At 38.7% G+C, this 19,537-nt stretch overlaps 1 protein-coding gene across 16 annotated transcripts in view; it reads left to right on the top strand.

Moving 5' to 3' along the window:
- Positions 1–19,537, top strand: part of IDE (insulin degrading enzyme) — a 122,410-nt gene that overhangs the window by 33,689 nt on the left and 69,184 nt on the right. For all 16 annotated transcript variants that reach the window (NR_136399.2, NM_001322794.2, NM_001322793.2 and 13 more), the window contains 3 exons: positions 2,855–3,039; positions 5,620–5,827; positions 8,488–8,657. Coding sequence is in view for 15 of the 16 variants with exons in the window: in NM_001322794.2 (NP_001309723.1) it covers positions 2,855–3,039; positions 5,620–5,827; positions 8,488–8,657 (563 nt within the window). In the remaining variant the exon portion in view is untranslated. The remainder of the gene's footprint in view (positions 1–2,854; positions 3,040–5,619; positions 5,828–8,487; positions 8,658–19,537) is intronic.

The raw sequence follows: 19,537 nt of genomic DNA, 5'->3' as shown, positions 1-19,537 counted from the left end.
GCTAAGTTGGATTCATTTTTAAAAATAGTTTAATTTATATTGAACTCAAATTAATGTTTTTGAAACAAACTGTGTACACACTGAAGGCATTTGCTGCAGTCTAAACAGATTGTCCTTTGCCAAATGTCTTAACCAGAACTGTTTTTTTTTTTTTTCTTTTGAGACGGAGTCTCGCTCTGTTGCGCCCAGGCTGGAGTGCAGTGGCATGATCTTGGCTCACTGCAGCCTCTGCCTCCCGGGTTCAAGCAATTCTGCTGCCTCAGTCTCCCAAATAGCTGGGATTACAGGCACCCGCCACCATGTCCAGCTAATTTCTTGTATTTTTAGTAAAGATGGGGTTTCACCATATTGACCAGGCTGGTCTCAGACTCCTGACCTCAGATGATCTGCCCGCCTCAGTCTCCCGAAGTGCTAGGATTACAGGCGTGAGTCACTGTGCCTGGCCTAGGACTGTTATCTGAGGTTCCTTGTACCCCTCTTTAGAGTCTAAAATAGACCATTTCCTGTCACCCTGAGAATTATTACTATTTTACCGCAAACACCATTTTTTAGACTTGGCACTCAGATATTTTCATCGTTCTTTGCCATTGAATTTTAGTGGCTTATGGCTAATGAGAAAGAAAATAATTTTTTTTTTTCTTTGAGACAGGATCTCACTCTGTCGCCAGGCTGGAGTGCAGTGGCTTGACCTCAGCTCACTGCAACCTTTGCCTCCCGGGTTGAAGCGATTCTCTTGCCTCAGCCTCCCAGGTAGCTGGGACTACAGGTGCACGCCACCACACCCATCTAATTTTTGTATTTTTAGTAGAGACAGGGTTTCACCATGTTGGCCAGGATGATCTTGATCTCCTGACCTTGTGATCCGCCCGTCTCAGCCTCCCAAAGTGCTGAGATTACAGGCGCGAGCCACCGTGCCTGGCTGAAAATAATTGTTAATAATGGCTTTTCAGTTTCAAGTTGCTTTTGAATTTTCCAACAGTGACCTACTAACATAGCCCCAATATGTTAGTATTATATTTTATGCTTTGTTTTTCAAGAAATGATTTTTACTATAAATAGGAGACCATTAGCACTATCTGTTGTAAAGTACTATGTGATTTTTAAAACCAGTATTATACATTTAGTGTGATATGTTGATCTTTAAAATTCCGTATCTCCTCTCCTCTAAAGAAGATCTATCAGCACTGTAAGAGAGGGCGAGAGAAAAAAAAAAAAGATCTAGGGGATCTAGGGGACAGTCTTAGTAGCAACAAACCCCTTTGATTTATCAATTGTTATGCAGATTGGAAGAATAGTTATAGGTGATTTCAGAGAGGAAAATATAATGGTGAAAGCAAACTAGATTTTTTTTCCTCTCTCAATCTCTAGAGATTTTAACACAGAAAAAACTTATCTAAAATAATTGTATGCCTATTTCTTCCCCCTCTTACTTACGTTTAAATCTAGCTGTCAGTCTTTAAGGAACAGTCAGATCTGTTTAGTTTTGTCTTGTAGGTAAGAAGCAGATGTGCTCATAGAGGGTTATTTTTCCTCTGTAGTTCCAGATATGTTTTTGGCTTTACTTAATTATATACTGGCAGTATATTAACCTGCCAGTAGTAGCAGTTTCAGTTTTTTTTTTTTTTTGTCTATTAAGCAATCTCCAGTATAGACAAAAGTTACATCTACCCTACTCTCAAAAAACATGCGTACCCCAGACTCTGGAAAGTCCCTTCACTGCACTAATTGCAACCAACATCCCTACATGATTCTGTGTACTGATAGTCCTTTCCCATCACTGTAATCTAGCCTTTGTAGAGAAGAAAGAAGACTGTCAGAGGAAGCCCTTTGCAAGAGAATTTTTCTGACATTTCTGTTAAGATTGCCAGACTTTTCCTGCTCTGGCATTCAGCTCTTCAGCAGGTTACAAAAATACTTGGGGTCCTTCCAACTTTTTGTTTGTTTGTTTTATGTCCTTGTTATTGCTGCCGTCATAGGACAGCACCGGTCTCTTATTTTATATTAGAACTTTACAGGATTGTTCCTCATTGGGGGTTGTTCCCTATGGGAGTTGTTCCCTATGTTCTGAGCATGTGTATGTCAGACCTGCGAGTTCCAGATCTACCCTATCTTTCAATATCATCAGTTTGAGCAGTGTTTGGGCTAACCCAGTAATAATTCTTACACAACATCTCACCTCACTTATTCTAGCAGATACCTCTGAAATAGTGTGAAATAAAACTCTATTCTAGGTCGGGGCGTAGTGGCTCACACTTGTAATCCTAGCACATTGGGAGGCTGAGGTGGACAGACGGCTTGAGCTCAGGAGTTCAAGACCAGCATGGGTAACAAGTTGAAATCCCATCTCTACAAAAAATGCAAAAAATTAACTGGGTGTGGTGTTGAGTGCCTGTGGTCCCAGCTGCTTGGGGGGACTGAGACAGGAGGATGAGGTCCACTTGAGCCCAGGAGGTTGAGGCCTGCAGTGAGCCAAAATCACGCTACTGCATACAAGCCTCGGTGACAAACTGAGACCCTGTCTCAAAAAAACAAAAACAAAACCAGCAAAAAAAACTCTATTCTAGTTCTGCATACAGGCCAACACATGGTCTAACCCACCCTATCTCAAATCCCTATCCATGTGCTCTTTCAGATACAAATATGGCTCCATGAAAACAATTTTGTTAGCATTTCTCAGAAAGAATGAGGGGTAAGAGGGAGGAAAGGAATGACTGCACCCTGTAGAGTGGCTATAAAAGGTTTCCTTCAGCATTTAGAAAAATCTGATGATGTATTATATGGGTTTACTTGACGTTATTGTTTGTCCTTAAATATAAAGTCACAAATCAACAATTAAAAATCTCTTTCTTTTCAGTTTCCAAAAAAAGACTTACAGCAAAATGAATAATCCAGCCATCAAGAGAATAGGAAATCACATTACCAAGTCTCCTGAAGACAAGCGAGAATATCGAGGGCTAGAGCTGGCCAATGGTATCAAAGTACTTCTTATCAGTGATCCCACCACGGATAAGTCATCAGCAGCACTTGATGTGCACATAGGTACAATTGAAAATTGTGAATTAAGCTTTGTTTTGTTTCATTGACCTAATGCTGACATTTATTAGAACTTTCCATACGTGTTTAAATACTCAATAGTTACCGGTTCCATGTACCTTATTTTATACCAGAACCCTCGTAAAGCTATTGGTAAACTGCAGTTGTTTCAGTCAAATAATCTTACATTTTCTAAGGACATCTTGTTAGGTTCCCACCTAAGGTGACCTAGCAGCAAAAATTCATTGCCATTCTTTACAGTAACAGTTATGATTTTTTTTTTTACCGTGGTACATTTAATATAACATTCCTTTTTCTTTTTCTTTTTTTTTTTTTGAGACAGAGTTTACTCTGTCGCCAGGCTGGAGTGCAGTGGCGCAATCTCGGCTCACTGCAACCTCTGCCTCCTGGGTTCAAGCAATTCACCTGCCTCAGCCTCCTGAGTAGCTGGGACTACAGGCATGGGCCTCCATGCCCAGCTAATTTTTGTATTTTTATTAGAGATGGGGTTTCACCATGTTGGCCAGGATGGTCTCGATCTCTTGACCTTGTGATCTGCCTGCCTTGGCCTCCCAAAGTGCTGGGATTACAGGCGTGAGCCACCGTGCCTGGCCTAATACCATATTTCATAGGTTCTTGTGTGCACATTTCTTTTTTCTTTTTTTTTTTTTCTGAGTGGGAGTTTTGCTCTTGTTGCCCAGGCTGGAGTGCAATGGTGTGATCTCGGCTCACTGCAACCTCCACCTCCCGGGTTCAAGCAATTCTCCTACCTCAGCCTCCCAAGTAGCTGGGATTACAGGCGCGTGCCACCACGCCCGCCTAATTCTGTATTTTTAGTAGAGATGGGGTTTCTCCATGTTGGTCAGGCTGGTCTTGAACTCCTGACCTCAGGTGATCTGCCCGCCTCGGCCTCCCAAAGTGCAGGGATTACAGGCGTGAGCCACTGCTCCCAGCCTTGTGTGCACATTTCTTTTTTTTTTTTTTTTTTGAGACGGAGTTTCACTGTTGTCGTCCGGGCTGGAGTGCAGTGGTGTGATCTCGGCTGACTGCAGCCTCCACCTCCCAGGTTCAAGCAATCTTCCTGCCTCACCCTCCTGAGTAGCTGGGATTACAGGCGTCCACCATCATGCCCAGTTAATTTGGGTATTTTTAGTAGAGATGAGGTTTCACCACGTTGGCCAGGCTGGTCTCGAACTCCTGACCTCAGGTGATCCACCCGCCTCAGCCTCCCAAAGTGTTGGGATTATAGGCGAGAGCCACCATGCCCTGCCATGGGCACATTTCTTACACATTTAATGTTGCTTTAATCAGGTTGCTTCTTTTTTTTTTTTTCTCTGAGACAGAGTCTCACTCTGTTGCCGAGGCTGGAGTGCAGTGGCGCAATCTCCGCTCACTGCAGCCCCCACCTTCAAGGTTCAAGCAATTTTCCTACCTCAGCCTCCCTAGTAGCTGGGATTATAGGCGCCCGCCACCACGCCCAGCTAATTTTTGTATTTTTATTAGAGACGAGGTTTTGCCATGTAGGCCAGGCTGATCTCAAACTCCCGACCTCAGATGATCTACCCACCTCGTCCTCCCAAAGTGCTGGGATTACGGGTGTGGGCCACTGTGCCTGGCCGAGTTGCTTTTTATGTATGTGTACAGTTAGTGGGACAGTGTTTCTTTTTGTCCTCTTTGAAAAACTTTTAACTCAGTGTCATTTTAGAACTGAAGAAATAAGGTAATATTGAACAAATAACTACTGCCTACCATAATGCCTTAGACTACCAGGGTGATTTGCATATGTCATCTAATTTGTACTCACACAGCCCTGTAAGATGGGTATATATTGAAGCGATTGAGTCAAGATAGGTACAGTATTGTGCTTACCGTTTCACAGCCAGTAGAGTGGTAACCCCCAAACGCATGCTGTTAACACTGTGCTGTATAGTCTCCTGCAATGAAATCATGACAAGAAAATTCTAGCTCTTGCTGGGTGTGGTGGCTCAAGCCTATAATCCCAGCACTTTGGGAGGCCGAGGCTGGCGGATCACGAGGTCAGGAGATCGAGACCATCCTGGCTAACACGGTGAAACCCCGCCTCTAATAAAAATACAAAGAATTAGCTGGGCGCGGTGGTGGGCGCCTGTAGTCCCAGCTACTCAGGAGGCTGAGGCAGGAGAATGGCGTGAACCCAGGAGGCGGAGCTTGCAGTGAGCCAAGATCTCGCCACTGCACTCCAGCCTGGGCGACAGAGCAAGACTCCGTCTCAAAAATAAATAAATAAATAAATAAAAAGAAAATTTTACCTCTTAAAACTGTGAATCCAGCTCTTTCTTCCTCTCCGGCATGTGGGGAAACTAATGTTCAGAGACACTAAGTAACCTGCCTGAGGTTACCAACTAATTAGCGTCAAGAGCAGGCACTAGAAACCAGTCTTCTGACTACTGATTTACTTTCTAAATAATATCATTTTAGGTAGCTTGTGCTTAACTTTCTCTGATTATATAGTTGGAGTTGTCATGCTAACAAGAACTACAAATCACCTGTACTTACTAACTTTCAGCATAGGACAATGATTTATTATATACGTGTTTTCTCTTTCAGGTTCATTGTCGGATCCTCCAAATATTGCTGGCTTAAGTCATTTTTGTGAACATATGCTTTTTTTGGGAACAAAGAAATACCCTAAAGAAAATGAATACAGCCAGTTTCTCAGTGAGCATGCAGGAAGTTCAAATGCCTTTACTAGTGGAGAGCATACCAATTACTATTTTGATGTTTCTCATGAACACCTAGAAGGTGCCCTAGACAGGTAATGCAGAATACCCTATGAATTATCCAACTTTGTGTACTTATCACATTAATAATAATAATTATTATTTCCACAGAGATGGCTTCATAATTTAACAAAAGGTATTTTAAACAGTGTTTTTCCCTGTGTTTTCTGAAAAAGAAAAAATGAGTGATGTCATATTTTAAATGAGCCTTCAGGCCTACAAAATATTTTATTGAGGTATAGAATTTTCAGCAGCCCTTTCCATTCTAACTGGTGTTACATATAAAGCATGTGATGAGGACTAACCTGTGATAATGTCATTGATCTCTTTTCAGACATACTTCTGTTCCAGAATGCTAAACCTTAAATATTCTCTCCTCGTTCATTTCCTTGCTTCTCAAGGATGCTTAGTAGATACAGAACGTTTTGACCTGCTGTTTCAACCGTGGGGATATTTTGAAAGTGTTTTCTGGAGCAAGCTCCATTAGGCCGATTTAATTTCTTGGTCAACCGTGGGGATATTTTGAATGTTTTCTGGAGCAAGCTCCATTAGGATGATTTAATTTCTTGGTCAATTTTTTTTTTTTTTTCAGACGGAGTTTCGCACTTGTTTCCCAGGCTGGAATGCAATGGTGCAGTCTTGGCTCACTGCAACCTTCGCCTTCCGGGTTCAAGCAATTCTTCTGCCTCAGCCTCCCGAGTAATTGGGATTACAGGCATGTGCCACCACGCCTGGCTAATTTTGTATTTTTAGTAGAGATGGGGTTTCACCATGTTGGTCAGGCTGGTCTCGAACTCCTGACTTCAGTTGATCCACCCACCTCAGCCTCCCAGAGTGCTGGGATTACAGGCATGAGCCACTGCGCCCAGCCTTGGTCAGCTTTTTTTTTTTTTTTTTGGTCAATTTTTTATACAGCTAACAATTTCTAATTTTTTTGTTGCATCAGTGATTTGATTCATTATTTGACTCAAATAATGGACTACACTCTGGTAGTCCAAAGCATTATGGTAGGCAGTAGTTATTTGTTTATCCTTGGTGAATATTTATAGTTTTCTGTGATGCCAAGGTGTAATTCTGCAACTTTTTGGATCTATAATGAAATTTGGCAGTTTTAGTCACTGTCGGCTTTATTTGCTTACTTTTAATAATAGTTATTATATTATTGAAAAAACATTATCAAGGCAAGGTTATGGGTTTATGAGATGTGCTGGGCCAAAGTAGTCTGTTTCCTACTTATTTTATTTTATGTTTCAGTCTTTAGGCAGCAGCTTTGAGGTGTAATCATCGCTAATATGTATTCCCAGAAGACTTCCATTAATTAGTTCCCTGGGATCATACACTGAATTTCATCTCTTGCTTTACAAATGCTGCAGCAGATGTTCATATAATAGATCTCTGTATGATGGGGGATGTCTGTTACTTGGCTCAAACTAAAAATCCACTTGTATAAGAGGATCATTTAAAAAACTTTATTATACTGTGTCATAACATGATCCTTTATCTGGGCCTATCCAGCTTTGGTATGTAGCTATTAGACATTTTTCCCAGCCTGGAAGTATTGAGGTGGGTAAAAGATGTTATGTGACCAGAAATCATCTGTTTTCATACATCTTTGATTATAGACTCCAGATAGATAGAGTTTCCCCTTGTGGTATATGTAAAGTACTTAGCATAGTATCATATTTTCTTATGCACTTAAAGTAAATAACAAGTAATGATAATGGCTTCTGTGACAGCTGGACTGTGAGGCGTAGTAACTGAGATGTTTATGGACCCAAGAGTTCCTTAGGCCCACTGAATAAAGTAGTCCTATTCAGAGCCTCTGCTCTTAGCTTCATCTGAATCAAGTCTTATTCTATAAAATGGGATGTAAAGTTTCTTAAGAATTACTACAGGAATCATGAGTTAAATTCAACCTGATATAGAAGAGTTAATTTATTAGCTGTAGGTATCTTAAAGTTAGGTATTATTATTAAGGAATAGCCTCAAGAAAGGCATATTGGTTACTTATGTTAAAGTTACATACCATGTTATTTATTGAATCACTGCTTATTAAAATTTTATGGACTTTTTCTCTTATGATTTCATAAACGCCCATAATCATGGCTTAGTCAAACTATGTCATACCTCAGGTTTTTTACTGCATTATGTTTTTTCCTACTAATTCAAGTTTGTTTTTCTACATAAGAAGAAAGAAATATTCAAATTGAGCCTGTTAAAAGTAGGTCACTTGTTTGTCCTAAGGTGCCTGAGTCTAAGTGAAATTGCACCTAAAACTGTAAATTTAAGATTGGCCTAAAAACTATGACCTGCCTTTTTCTTTCTTTCTCTTTTTTTTTTTTTTTGGAGCATTAGCCACATGTAACAAAGTTTTTATAGACGTACCAAATTAAAAATCTTAAATAGACTGCTATTGTCCATAATCTGCCTTTTTTGGTGTTAATTTTTTAAATTTTCACTGTTTATCATCTCTGGGGTAGATCAACTCCTCTGCATTTACCTCTGTTCAACATTAGATTTTTCTTCTGTTACATAGCACTTATTTTATACTCCTTTTTTCTTAGTAGCAATGGTAGTTTTGTTTCTGATTCTGCAAAATTTACATTTCCTATCTAATAAGTTCCAAAAATCTTTCTAAAAGGCTATTGTTTTAAAATGACATCTTTCAAGTTTTAATTATGTTTCGTACCCTTAGGTTTGCACAGTTTTTTCTGTGCCCCTTGTTCGATGAAAGTTGCAAAGACAGAGAGGTGAATGCAGTTGATTCAGAACATGAGAAGAATGTGATGAATGATGCCTGGAGACTCTTTCAATTGGAAAAAGCTACAGGGAATCCTAAACACCCCTTCAGTAAATTTGGGACAGGTTTGTCAACAGCTGCTTTCCTTGACCTCATTTAAACCCATGGCCACTGCATAGTATTATATTTTATGTATATATAAAATATATTTATGTATATATTTATGTATATAACCCATGGCATATACAGTTCATGGCATATTTTACAATTCAGGATAGATTTCAAAATTCCACATTTCTACTTACATCCTGTTCAAATAGGGTTCTAAACGTTTAAGGAGCAGAGCAGTTAGAGTTGTGAATAGATATTAACCAGCATTCCATATGGAGAAGATAATAGATTCTTTTATTCCAAAGCCTACCTTCCAAAGTACTTTTTTTTGTAAAGGCTCACTGTAGTATTGTTGAATCCACTTGTCCTCATTGCCTCTACTTCTGCTAATCCAGATGCATAGCGTCTGCTATGGGGTTAGCTCTGTGGGAGATAGGACACTGTAGAAGACACACAAGATCCCAGCTCTTAAAGTGCTACAATCTCCTAGAGGGAGATAAGAAATGGGGATAACAGGAAGTAGAATAAGATAAACGTGGAGACTCTTGACTTTATAATTGTACCTTTTTCTTCAATTTTTCATTAAAAAAGTACTTGTTTAAATATTTAAACAGTACAAAAGCATTTAGAGTAAAAATAAAAGCAGAAACACAAAGTCTGTCTATTCTTTATCTATTCCTGCCAGTCATGCTCACCAGAGGTAATCATTGTTAACAGATTGCTATACTTTTAAAATACTGTTTTGGGTATTATAAAAGTACATAAGAATAATGATAATATATTATTTAATGTACTTAGAAATTTATGCTTAAAAATTCACTTCTCTATTATGAGAACATGCTTATTTTATAAATTAGTTTTGGGAACTTTTTAAAACCATAAAGACAACTTTCTTTAAGTTTGGATATCATCCTAATGTATCCAACAGCAGTCAGAGAAATTAGCATAGCTTTACAGAATTAGGAGTTTTCAAAAATTATACTTTGAAGCAGTGATATTATATTCTTTAGAACCGTGGTACTTGGCACTCAATATTAACATAATTGCCAAGATGAATAGTGTGGTTCTTAGAATGTCTACATAATGCTGAATTTTTTAAAAAGTGATTTTTGTGGAGAACATCAGTATACATGGTATGTCAAGAATGGAATGTGAGTTTTAAAAAACAAATATCAGGCCAGGCATGGTGGCTCATGCCTGTAACTGCAACACTTTAGAAGACCAAGGTGGGAGGATTTCTTGAGTTCAGGAGTTTGAGACCAGCCTGGGCAACATAGTGAGACACTATCTTTACAAGAAAATAAAATAATTAGCCAGGCATGGTGGTGTGTGCCTGTAGTCCAAGCTACCTGGGAGGCTGAGGATGGCTTGAGCCAGTGAGTTCAACTGCAGTGAGCCACAATTGAGTCACTGCACTCCAGCCTGGGTGATAGTAAGACCCTGTCTCAAAAAAAAAACAACAACTTTTTTTTTGTTTTTTCAAAAGCATTACATTCAAATGGTTATTTATTTATTTATTTATTTATTTATTTATTGAGACGGAGTCTGGCTCTTATCACCCAGGCTGGAATGCAGTGGCCTGATTTCAGCTCGCTACAACCTCTGCCTCCTAGGTTCCAGCAATTCTCCTGCCTCAGCCTCCTGAGTACCTGGGATTACAGGCGCCCGCCACCATGCCCGGCTAATTTGTGTACTTTTAGTAGAGGCGGGGTTTCTCCATGTTGGTCAGGCTGGTCTCAAAATCCTGATCTCAGGTGATCCGCCTGCCTCGGCCTTCCAAAGTGCTGGGATTACAGGCGTGAGCCACTGCGCCTGGCGATTATTTAAAGTAGTCCTTTTGGTATGTTAGATACTTACACAAACAATGCTGCTATTTTGCAGAATATGTTGGAGCTCCTCTTTGGGAGTTGCCTTTTTTTAAATAGCTTCACTGGTGACAAATTATAATCAGCATAATCAGAAAGCAGTTACACATTTTCCAGAAATAAATCCAGTGAATAAGGTGAGTAGTGTTACTTCTGGTCACAAACAAGGAACATTTTTTTTTCCTGTAGAGGTGGGGTCTCACTATGTTGACCAGGCTGGTCTTGAACGCCTGGCCTCAAGTATTCTTCCTGCCTCGCCTCCCAAAGTGCTGAGATTACAGGCATGAGCCACCATGCCTGGCCACAAGAACAATCTTAAAATATTCTATAGAAGGGTTTCAGGAATGATGGGCAAAGAGATACATTGCATGGCATATCCATATGGGTGAAGTTTCAGGGCATATTTCTTTTTATAGCCTGAAAAGCTAGGCAGTTAGCAAAGTACAAGGTAATATAAACAGCTGAGAAACAAGTGAGCCAGACTCAATACACAGTACAGAAAATGTGATATAAGTAATGCAAATGTCAAGTTACCTTCTGATTTTAGAATTATAAACTTACGTTGAATTTTTTGGAGTAGAAGTTCTGTGTATTTTTAAGGTCACAGGTACATTTGAAAATTTGATGACAGTTGTATGCCCTTATCTCAGATATTATGCATATTGAAAACTTTGCAAAAGTGATCGTTGCAGTAGGTTCCTTGTCAGAAATTCATGCTAATTTATGTAGATTGCTTTGGCCTCAGATGTTTTTGTGAGTGTGGGCCACTTTGTTCATCAGGGGATTTTTTGTTTTGTTTTGTTTTTTTGTTTTGTTTTTTTTGAGACAGTCTTGCTCTGTCGTCCAGGCTGGAGTGCAGTATGGTGATCTTGGCTCACTGCAACCTCTGCCTCTCAGGTTCAAGCGATTCTCCTGCCTCAGCCTTCTGAGTAGCTGGGATTACGGGCACCCACCACCATGCCCAGCTAATTTTTGTATTTTTAGTAGAGATGGGGTTTCACCATGTTAGCCAGGCTGGTCTCGAACTCCTGACCTCAAGTGATCTGCCCGCCTCAGCCTTCCAAAGTGCTGGGATTACAGGCATGAGCCATCACGCCTGGTCTCATCAAGGGATTTTGATTTAAAATAATAATACCAGAAAAAGGTGTGTATTTTTGAATGAATAAAAACCACACATTGTATTATCTGTTTTAAGAAAACTTTACAGTAAGATGTTTGTCCCTAACAGTCGGTTTTCATGCTCAGAAATAGTATAGATTAGTGGCTTTCAAACTCTTTTTTGTATACAACTCATAGTAAGAAGCACATTTTATTTAGCAATTCAGAGTACATATATGTGTTTGTGTAAGCAGCTGAAACAAAATTTTGTCAAACACTATCTTACATCATGGGATGTAGTCTGGCACTTTCCCTTATATTCTGTTTTTTTTTTTTTCTAGAGAAACTCTGATCTGCTAATACTTTAAATGCATTTAATTACAATATAATGGGTCCTGACCCACAGTTTTAGTAGTCCAAAGTGATAGACAGTAGACTCTGAGCATTGGATAAAACACAGCACTCATCCATGAACAAAAATAAACCACAACAATAAAAAACTTTCAAGCTGATTAAAAGCTATTGTCAAACTTCATGATTAATGGAGGTTTCAAAGGATTTCTGTTGAAAAAATAAGGATGCCCACTATCACTTTTGTTTGGCTATACTTACAGGTATTAATCATTACAATAAATCAAGGGGGAAAATGTGATTATAAGAGATGGAAAGGAAGCACAACAAAACCTATTTCCTTATTTCCATATGATAGGATTGCCTCCATAAAAATACTGAAGAAAATCTTCAGATCAGTCATTAAAAATAATTCAGCAAGGTTGCCAGAAAGAAGACAAACACACTAAAATTGCGTTCTTTGGAGTACAGTGGCGTGACCTTGGCTCACTGCCACCTCCGCCTCCCAGGTTCAAACGATTCCCCTGTCTCAGCTCCCCAAGTAGTTGGGATTACAGGCACGTGCCACCACGCCCAGCTAATTTTTTGTATTTTTAGTAGAGATGGGGTTTCACCATGTTAGTCAGCATGGTCTCGATCTCCCAGCCTCGTGATCCACCCGCCTTGGCCTCTCAAAGTGTTAGGATTACAGGCATTAGCCACCGTGCCCGGCCATGTTCTTGTATCAATAATCAATTACAGGAAAATGCTGGGGTAAAAATTATTTCATTTGCAATATTTAACAAAGCTGTAAAATATTCAGAAATAAATCCAATGAAAGAGTTGCAAGAAATATGTAATGGATATAAAAGAATGCCTAAATGGGGAGGTATATCATGCACATGGATGGTTAAACTCTATATAACATAAATGTAAATATGCCCCAAATTTCTCTAAATTCAATGCAGTGCCAGTTGAAAGTCCTGTAAGTTTTTTTTTAGGAATTGTATAATCTCATTATAAAATTAATAAGAGAGTAAAAGGCCAAGAATAGCTAAGATAATTTTGAGGAACAAGGAAAGCTACTTCTACCAGGTACCAAGACTTATTATAAAGTTCTAGTTGTTACAGTAGTAGAATTGAAGCAGGGGTGCATGAAGATACAAGTAGAACAGATTATAGGCCCTGGAAACATCCACAAACATATGGAAACTTGATATAAGGCAGAGGTACATTACAAATGAAAAAAATATAGTTCTTTCTTAGGACTTTATGTAGACTTTCTATAGACTACAGACATGTGCCACTGAGTCTGGTTCGCTACAACTTTTAAAAGAAAATATATGAGAATTTTTTTTATCTTCAGATAGAGGAAATGTTCTTAAACACACAGAAAAACCCATGAAGATAGAGATGAACCATAGGTTTAGAGATAAACTTGACCTCATTGAAATTTAAAATCCTTGTTCAAAAGAGACACAAAAAGCTAGATGTGGTGGTATGCACCTGTAATCGCAGCTTCTCAGGAGGCTGAGGCAGGAGGATGGTTTGCACCCAGAAGTTCAAGACCAGTCTAGGCAACATAGTGAGACCCTGTCCTTTTTTTTTTTTTTTTTTTTTTTTGAGACAGGGCCTCACCCTGTTGCCCAGGCTGGAATGCAGTGGTGCAATCTTGGCACTCTGTAACCTCCTCCTCCTGGGCTCAAATGATCCTCCTACCCCAGCCTCCCAAGTAGCTGAGACTACACGCACACACTACCACACTCAGCTAATTATTTAATCTTTTGTAGAGATAGGGTCTCCCTATGTTGCCCAAGCTGGTCTCAAACTCCTAGGCTCAAGTGATCCTCCTGCCTCAGCTTCCCAAAGTGCTAGGGTTACAGGCATGAACCATCATGCCCAGCCTCTTAACTTCTCTAAGCCCCAGTTCCTTTCCACATCAGGTTGATGCCAATATTAAATGAGATTGTGCATATGAAGCCCATAATAATGTTAAATAAATCATATTAATAGTATAATACCTGATTGGTAGCTGTGAAAGGACAGTAGGATTCTGAAAAAGTCCTTGTCTTGATTCCATATAGATTTTAGGATTTTTTTTTCTATTTCTGTGAAGAATATCATTGGTATTTTGATAGGGGTTGCATTGAATCTGTAGATAGCTTTGGATAGTATGGACATTTTAACAATATTAGTTCTTCCAGTCCATGAACACAGGATGTCTTTCCTTTTTGTGTATGCCCTCCTTAATTTCTCTTATTAGTATTTTATAGTTTTCATTGTAGAGATCTTTTACTTTACTTTTTTTTTTTTTTTGAGACGGAGTCCCGCTCTTTCTCCCAGGCTGGAGTGCAGTGGCGCCATCTCAGCTCACTGCAACCTCCACCTCCTAGGTTCAAGTAATTCTGCCTCAGCCTCCCAAGTAGATGGGATTACAGGCTTGCACCACAACGCCCAGCTGATTTTTGTATTTTTAGTGGAGATGAAGTTTCGCATGTTGGCCAGGCTGGTCTCAAACTCCTGAGCTCGAGTGATCTGCCCACCTTGGCCTCCCAAAGTTCTGGGATTAGAGGTGTGAGCCACTGCGCCCAGCCTGAGATCTTTTACTTTTTTGGTTCAGTTTGTTCTTAGAGGGCTTTTTTGTTGTGTGTTTGTTTTTTGTTTTTTGTAGCTATTATAAATGGGATTGCTTTCTTGGTTTTTTTTTTTTTTTTTTCAGATTGTTCACTGTTGGCATATAGAAATGCTACTGATTTTGATATGCTGACTTTTGTATCCTGCAACTTTACTGAATTCATTTATCAGTTCTAACAGGTGTTTTTGATAGAGTCTTCAGGTTTTTCTAAATATAAGATTATGTTGTCTACGAACAATGACAGTTTGACTTCTTTCCATTTTGGATGCCCTTTATGTCTTGTCTAATGGCTCTGGCTAGGACTTCCAGTGCTATGCTGTATAAAGTGGTAAAAGTGGGGATGCTTGTCTTCTTCAGATCTTAGAGCAAAGGCTTTCACTTTTTCGCTGTTCCATATGATGTTAGCTCTGAGTTTGTCATATACAGCCTTTATTGTTTTGACATATGTTCCTTCTCTACCCAGTGTGTTGAGAACGTTTATCATGAAGTGATGTTGAATTTTATTGAATGCCTTTTTCAGCTTATGGTGTTTGTCCTTGATTCTGTTACTGTGATGTATCATGTTTTTGTTTTATTTTGTTTTGAGACAGTCTCACTCTGTTGCCCAGGCTGGAGGGCAATGGTGCAATCTCGGCTTACTGCAACCTCTGCCTCCCGGGTTCAAGTGATTCTCTTGCCTCAGCCTCCCCAGTAGCTGGGATTACAGGCACACGCCTGGCTAATTTTTGTATTTTTAGTAGAGACTGTGTTTTGCCATGTTGGCAAGGCTGGTCTTGAACTCCTGATCTCAAGTGATCCACCCACCTCGGCCTCCCAAAGTGCTGGGATTACAGGCATGAGCCATTACACCTGACCCTGTGATGTATCATGTTTATTGATTTGTATATATTTGTATATATTTTTGTTTGTTTGTTTGTTTGAGATGGAGTCTCACTCTTTCGCCCAGGCTGGAGTACAGTGGTGCCATCTCGGCTCACTGCAACTTCCGTGTTCAAGCAATTCTCCTGCCTCAGCCTTTCAAGAAGCTGGGATTGCAGCGCCCATTACCACATCTGGTTAATTTTTGTATTTTTAGTAGAGACGGGGTTTTGCTATATTGGCCAGGCTGATCTCAAACTTCTGACCTCAGGTGATCCACCCACCTCGGCCTCTCAAAGTGCTGGGATTACAGGCGTGAGCCACTGTGCCCAGCCTGATTTGTTTATGTTGAACCATCTTTGCATCCCTGAGATGAATCCCACTTGATCATGTTGAATGATATATATTATTATATATAAAATATATATATAATATAAAATATATTATAATATAATATATATTATATATTATATAAAATATATTATAATATAATATATATTATATATTATATAAAATATATAATATATAAAATATATTATATAAAATATATTATATATAATATAATATATATTATATATTATATAAAATATATTATATATAATATATATTATAATATAAAATATATTATATATAATATAATATATATAATAATATATTATATATATTTTTTTGAGATAGAGTCTCACTCTGTCACCAAGGCTGGAGTGCAGTGGCACAATCTCAGCTTACCGTAACCTCCACTTCCCGGGTTCAAGCAGTTCTGCCTCAGCCTCCCAAGTAGCTGGGATTACATGCCTGCCACCATGCCCAGCTAATTTGTGAATTGAATGATATTTTTAATATGTTATTGAATTTAGTTGGTATCCACTTTCACTTTTTCTCTTCATTATTCACATATGCCTTTAGTTTCATAGTTCCTGATAAACTAGAAACCATTTTTCTGCCCTATTTTGTTTTTTTGTTTGCCTCTCAATGGAATTAAAGTAGGAGCAGTTGAATGTTTACAAGCAGGTTTAGAATAGTAAAAGGAAAAACTTAGTTCTGGTTATTCCTTACTGATCTGTTTCTCCAAACATAACTCTACCGACACTGTGGGAGCAACTGGGTTTATTCAGCTGGGAGGGAAATAAAAGAAGGAGGTCAAAGAGTGAGTGGGAACAACAAAACAGGTACTCCTTCATGTATAGGTAGAATGAAAGGCACAGTTGAAGACAAGAATATAGAGGGTGGAGCTGTATTTTAGGTGTGCGTGACTTTTTTTTTTTTTTTTTTTTAAGACTGAGTCTTACTCTTGTCGCCCATGCTGAAGTGACATGGCATGATCTTGGCTCACTGCAACCTCCGCCTCCTAGGTTTAAGTGGTTATCATGTCTCAGCCACCCAAGTTGCTGGGATTATAGGCACATACCACAATGCCTAACTAATTTTTTTTTTTTTTTTTTTAAGTAGAGACCATGTTGGCCAGGCTGGTCTCGAATTCCTGACCTCAGGTCATTTGCCTGCCTTGGCCTCCCAGAGTGCTAGGATTATGGTGTGAGCCACTGTGCCCAGCAAGTGAAAAGAAAGAAAATTTCTTTCTTTTCTTTTCTTTCTTTGAGACAGGGTTTCCTTCTGTCATTCAGACTGGAGTGCGGTCGCATGATCTCGGCTCACTACAGCTTCCATCTCCTGGGTTCAAACGATTCTCCTGCCTCAGCCTCTGAAGTAGCTGGGATTAAAGGCAGGTGCCATCACACCTGGCTAGTTTTTGTATTTTTAGTAGAGACAGGGTTTCACCATGTCGCCCAGGCTAGTCTCGAACTTCTGAGCTCAGGTCATCTGCCTGACTCCGCTGCTATTTACTCTAGTATGCTTATTCCAAGTTCATAGGATTATAAATATAAATGAGCCCAAATTTTCTCTCTCTCAGTTAATAAGTAATTTTTTTAGTCCCCCTACATGTAAAGTGCATTAGAAAATGCAAAGAAGTGTAACTAGTGTCATTGCACTCAAGGTGCTGAAAGTTTAGTTGGGGAAGCAAGGCAAACCCAGGATTTCACTGAGTGTAATTTTAGCTTTGATTTTCCAGGATCATCATCTCTCCATTTTCTTCCTCCTTTTTCTTGCTAATTTTTATTGAGTGCTATGCTAAGCACTTTACGTGGATTATTTAATTTCTAATAATTCTCACAGTAACCCCAGTAGGTAGATGCTCATATTTCCATCTTACATGAGTAGATTAAGACTTAAGATAATTAAATTGCCTTGGGTCCCTCAGCTTTTAAGTGCTGGAGTCAGGATCTGTGCCCAGATTTGGAGCTTTTAAACACTATTCTATTTTGCATGTTTTAGTGTTGCCCAGAATTTATTTCTCCAGGATCTTAGCGGAGATGCAGTTTCACTTCTCCTGAAGTATAGATAAGATTTCCTTAAGCAGAAGGAAGAGCCATTCAAGGGGAAAAAGAAAAGGAACTAATATTTGTTGTATTTGACTAATGTTTTAGTCTTGCAGGGAGTACAGAGAGGAGAGAGATAGGGTGGTAGTGGAACTATCTGTATAGGTTATGGAATTCAATTATCAAGTCAGTCTGAACTCAAAGCCTATGTTCTTCATGATAGTAATTAAGTTGACCCCCAAAACCATGACATGAAGAAAAGACCAAGGAGTGAGCCTGGTTTCTTTTGGAGAACATGAGTTAGGATAGTTTGAGTATAACAAAGGATGCTTTTGCATAGAGAAGTAGGAAGGAATAGAATAGAAAAAGAGAACCCAATAAAATTGTGGAATATGAACCAGAGGGTAGTTCAGTGACTCCTGATCCTGTGGTAAACATAATAACACACCAAATCAGACTCTAATACAAGTTCAATTACTTTTTTCTCTCTTCCCTCCCACCCTTATTTCCTCTTTTCTTCCCTTCACCATTTTTTTTTTGTGAAGAATTTAAAACATACACAAAAGAACACAAAATACTATAATGACCCTATGTGTGCATCACCCTGCCCCTGGCCAATTCTGTACAATCCACATTTCCATTCACCCTTTTGTATTATTTTGAAGAGATTCTAGATATCATTTTGCTCATAAATATTTCAGTATATATCTCTAAAACATAGCAATTCATTTTTAAAAACATAAAAATACCATTATTGTTACCATTATTATCAAATATCCAGTTAGTGTTCAAATTTCTAGTGTTCTTATAAAAATCATTATTTTTAAAGTTTATTTGAATCAGAGTCCAAATAAGTATTACATATTAGTGATTGTTTGATATGTCTTTCATTATTATTATTATTATTATTTTAATTTTTGTAGAGACAGGATCTCACTATGTTGTCCAGGCTTGTCTTGAAATCCTAGTTTCAAGCGATTCTCCCACCTTGACCACCCAAAGTGCTAGGACCCCAAAGTGAGTCACCCAAAGTGAGCCACCACTCCAGTCTGATATGTCTTTTAAGTCTCTTTTTAGTTTAAGAGTTCATCCTTCATCTCTTCCTCTACTCCTTCCCCTCACTCCCCTCTTGGAATTTATTTATTGAATAATCAGGTTGTTTGTTTTATCGAACTTCTCATAGCCTAGATTTTTTTTTTTTTACTGCACCCCTAACAATGTAGTTTAACAAGTTCCTCTGTCTTCTGTATTTCTACAAATTGGCAGTTGGATATAGAGGCTTGATCAAATTTGTGTTTGACTTTTTGACAAGACATCTTCATAGGTGGTGATGTATTTTTCCATTGGGCATACAATGTCTGGTCATTTATGATGTTGCAAATATTGATTCTCAGTGCATCACCTCCCTAATTTTGGTTTTTCTAATGCTAATTCTATTATTCCATCTCTTTTGATTAACTTGAGTACTGCTGTAAAATCTCCTTTTCTACTATTTGGCTAGTCAGTGGTACAGTTACTGTGGGAAAGGCAGGATAAATGCTTTTATTCCATTCCATTTATTTACCAATTTTCAAAATAATGAATTGGTTCGTCAGCATCCTTCAGGGTGACTAATTTGTTTTTTGAGTATCACATAGACTCATGGATGTAAAAACATTTCATATATTTTAGTCCATGTAATCATTTATTGTTCCCTTAGCTTTTCCATGGATTTTGTTACTATCTTTTTTCTC

Source organism: Homo sapiens, chromosome 10 (assembly GCF_000001405.40).
Source record: "Homo sapiens chromosome 10, GRCh38.p14 Primary Assembly".
In the NCBI taxonomy this organism is placed as follows: domain Eukaryota; kingdom Metazoa; phylum Chordata; class Mammalia; order Primates; family Hominidae; genus Homo; species Homo sapiens.
This window is presented reverse-complemented; position numbering and strand designations above follow the sequence as displayed.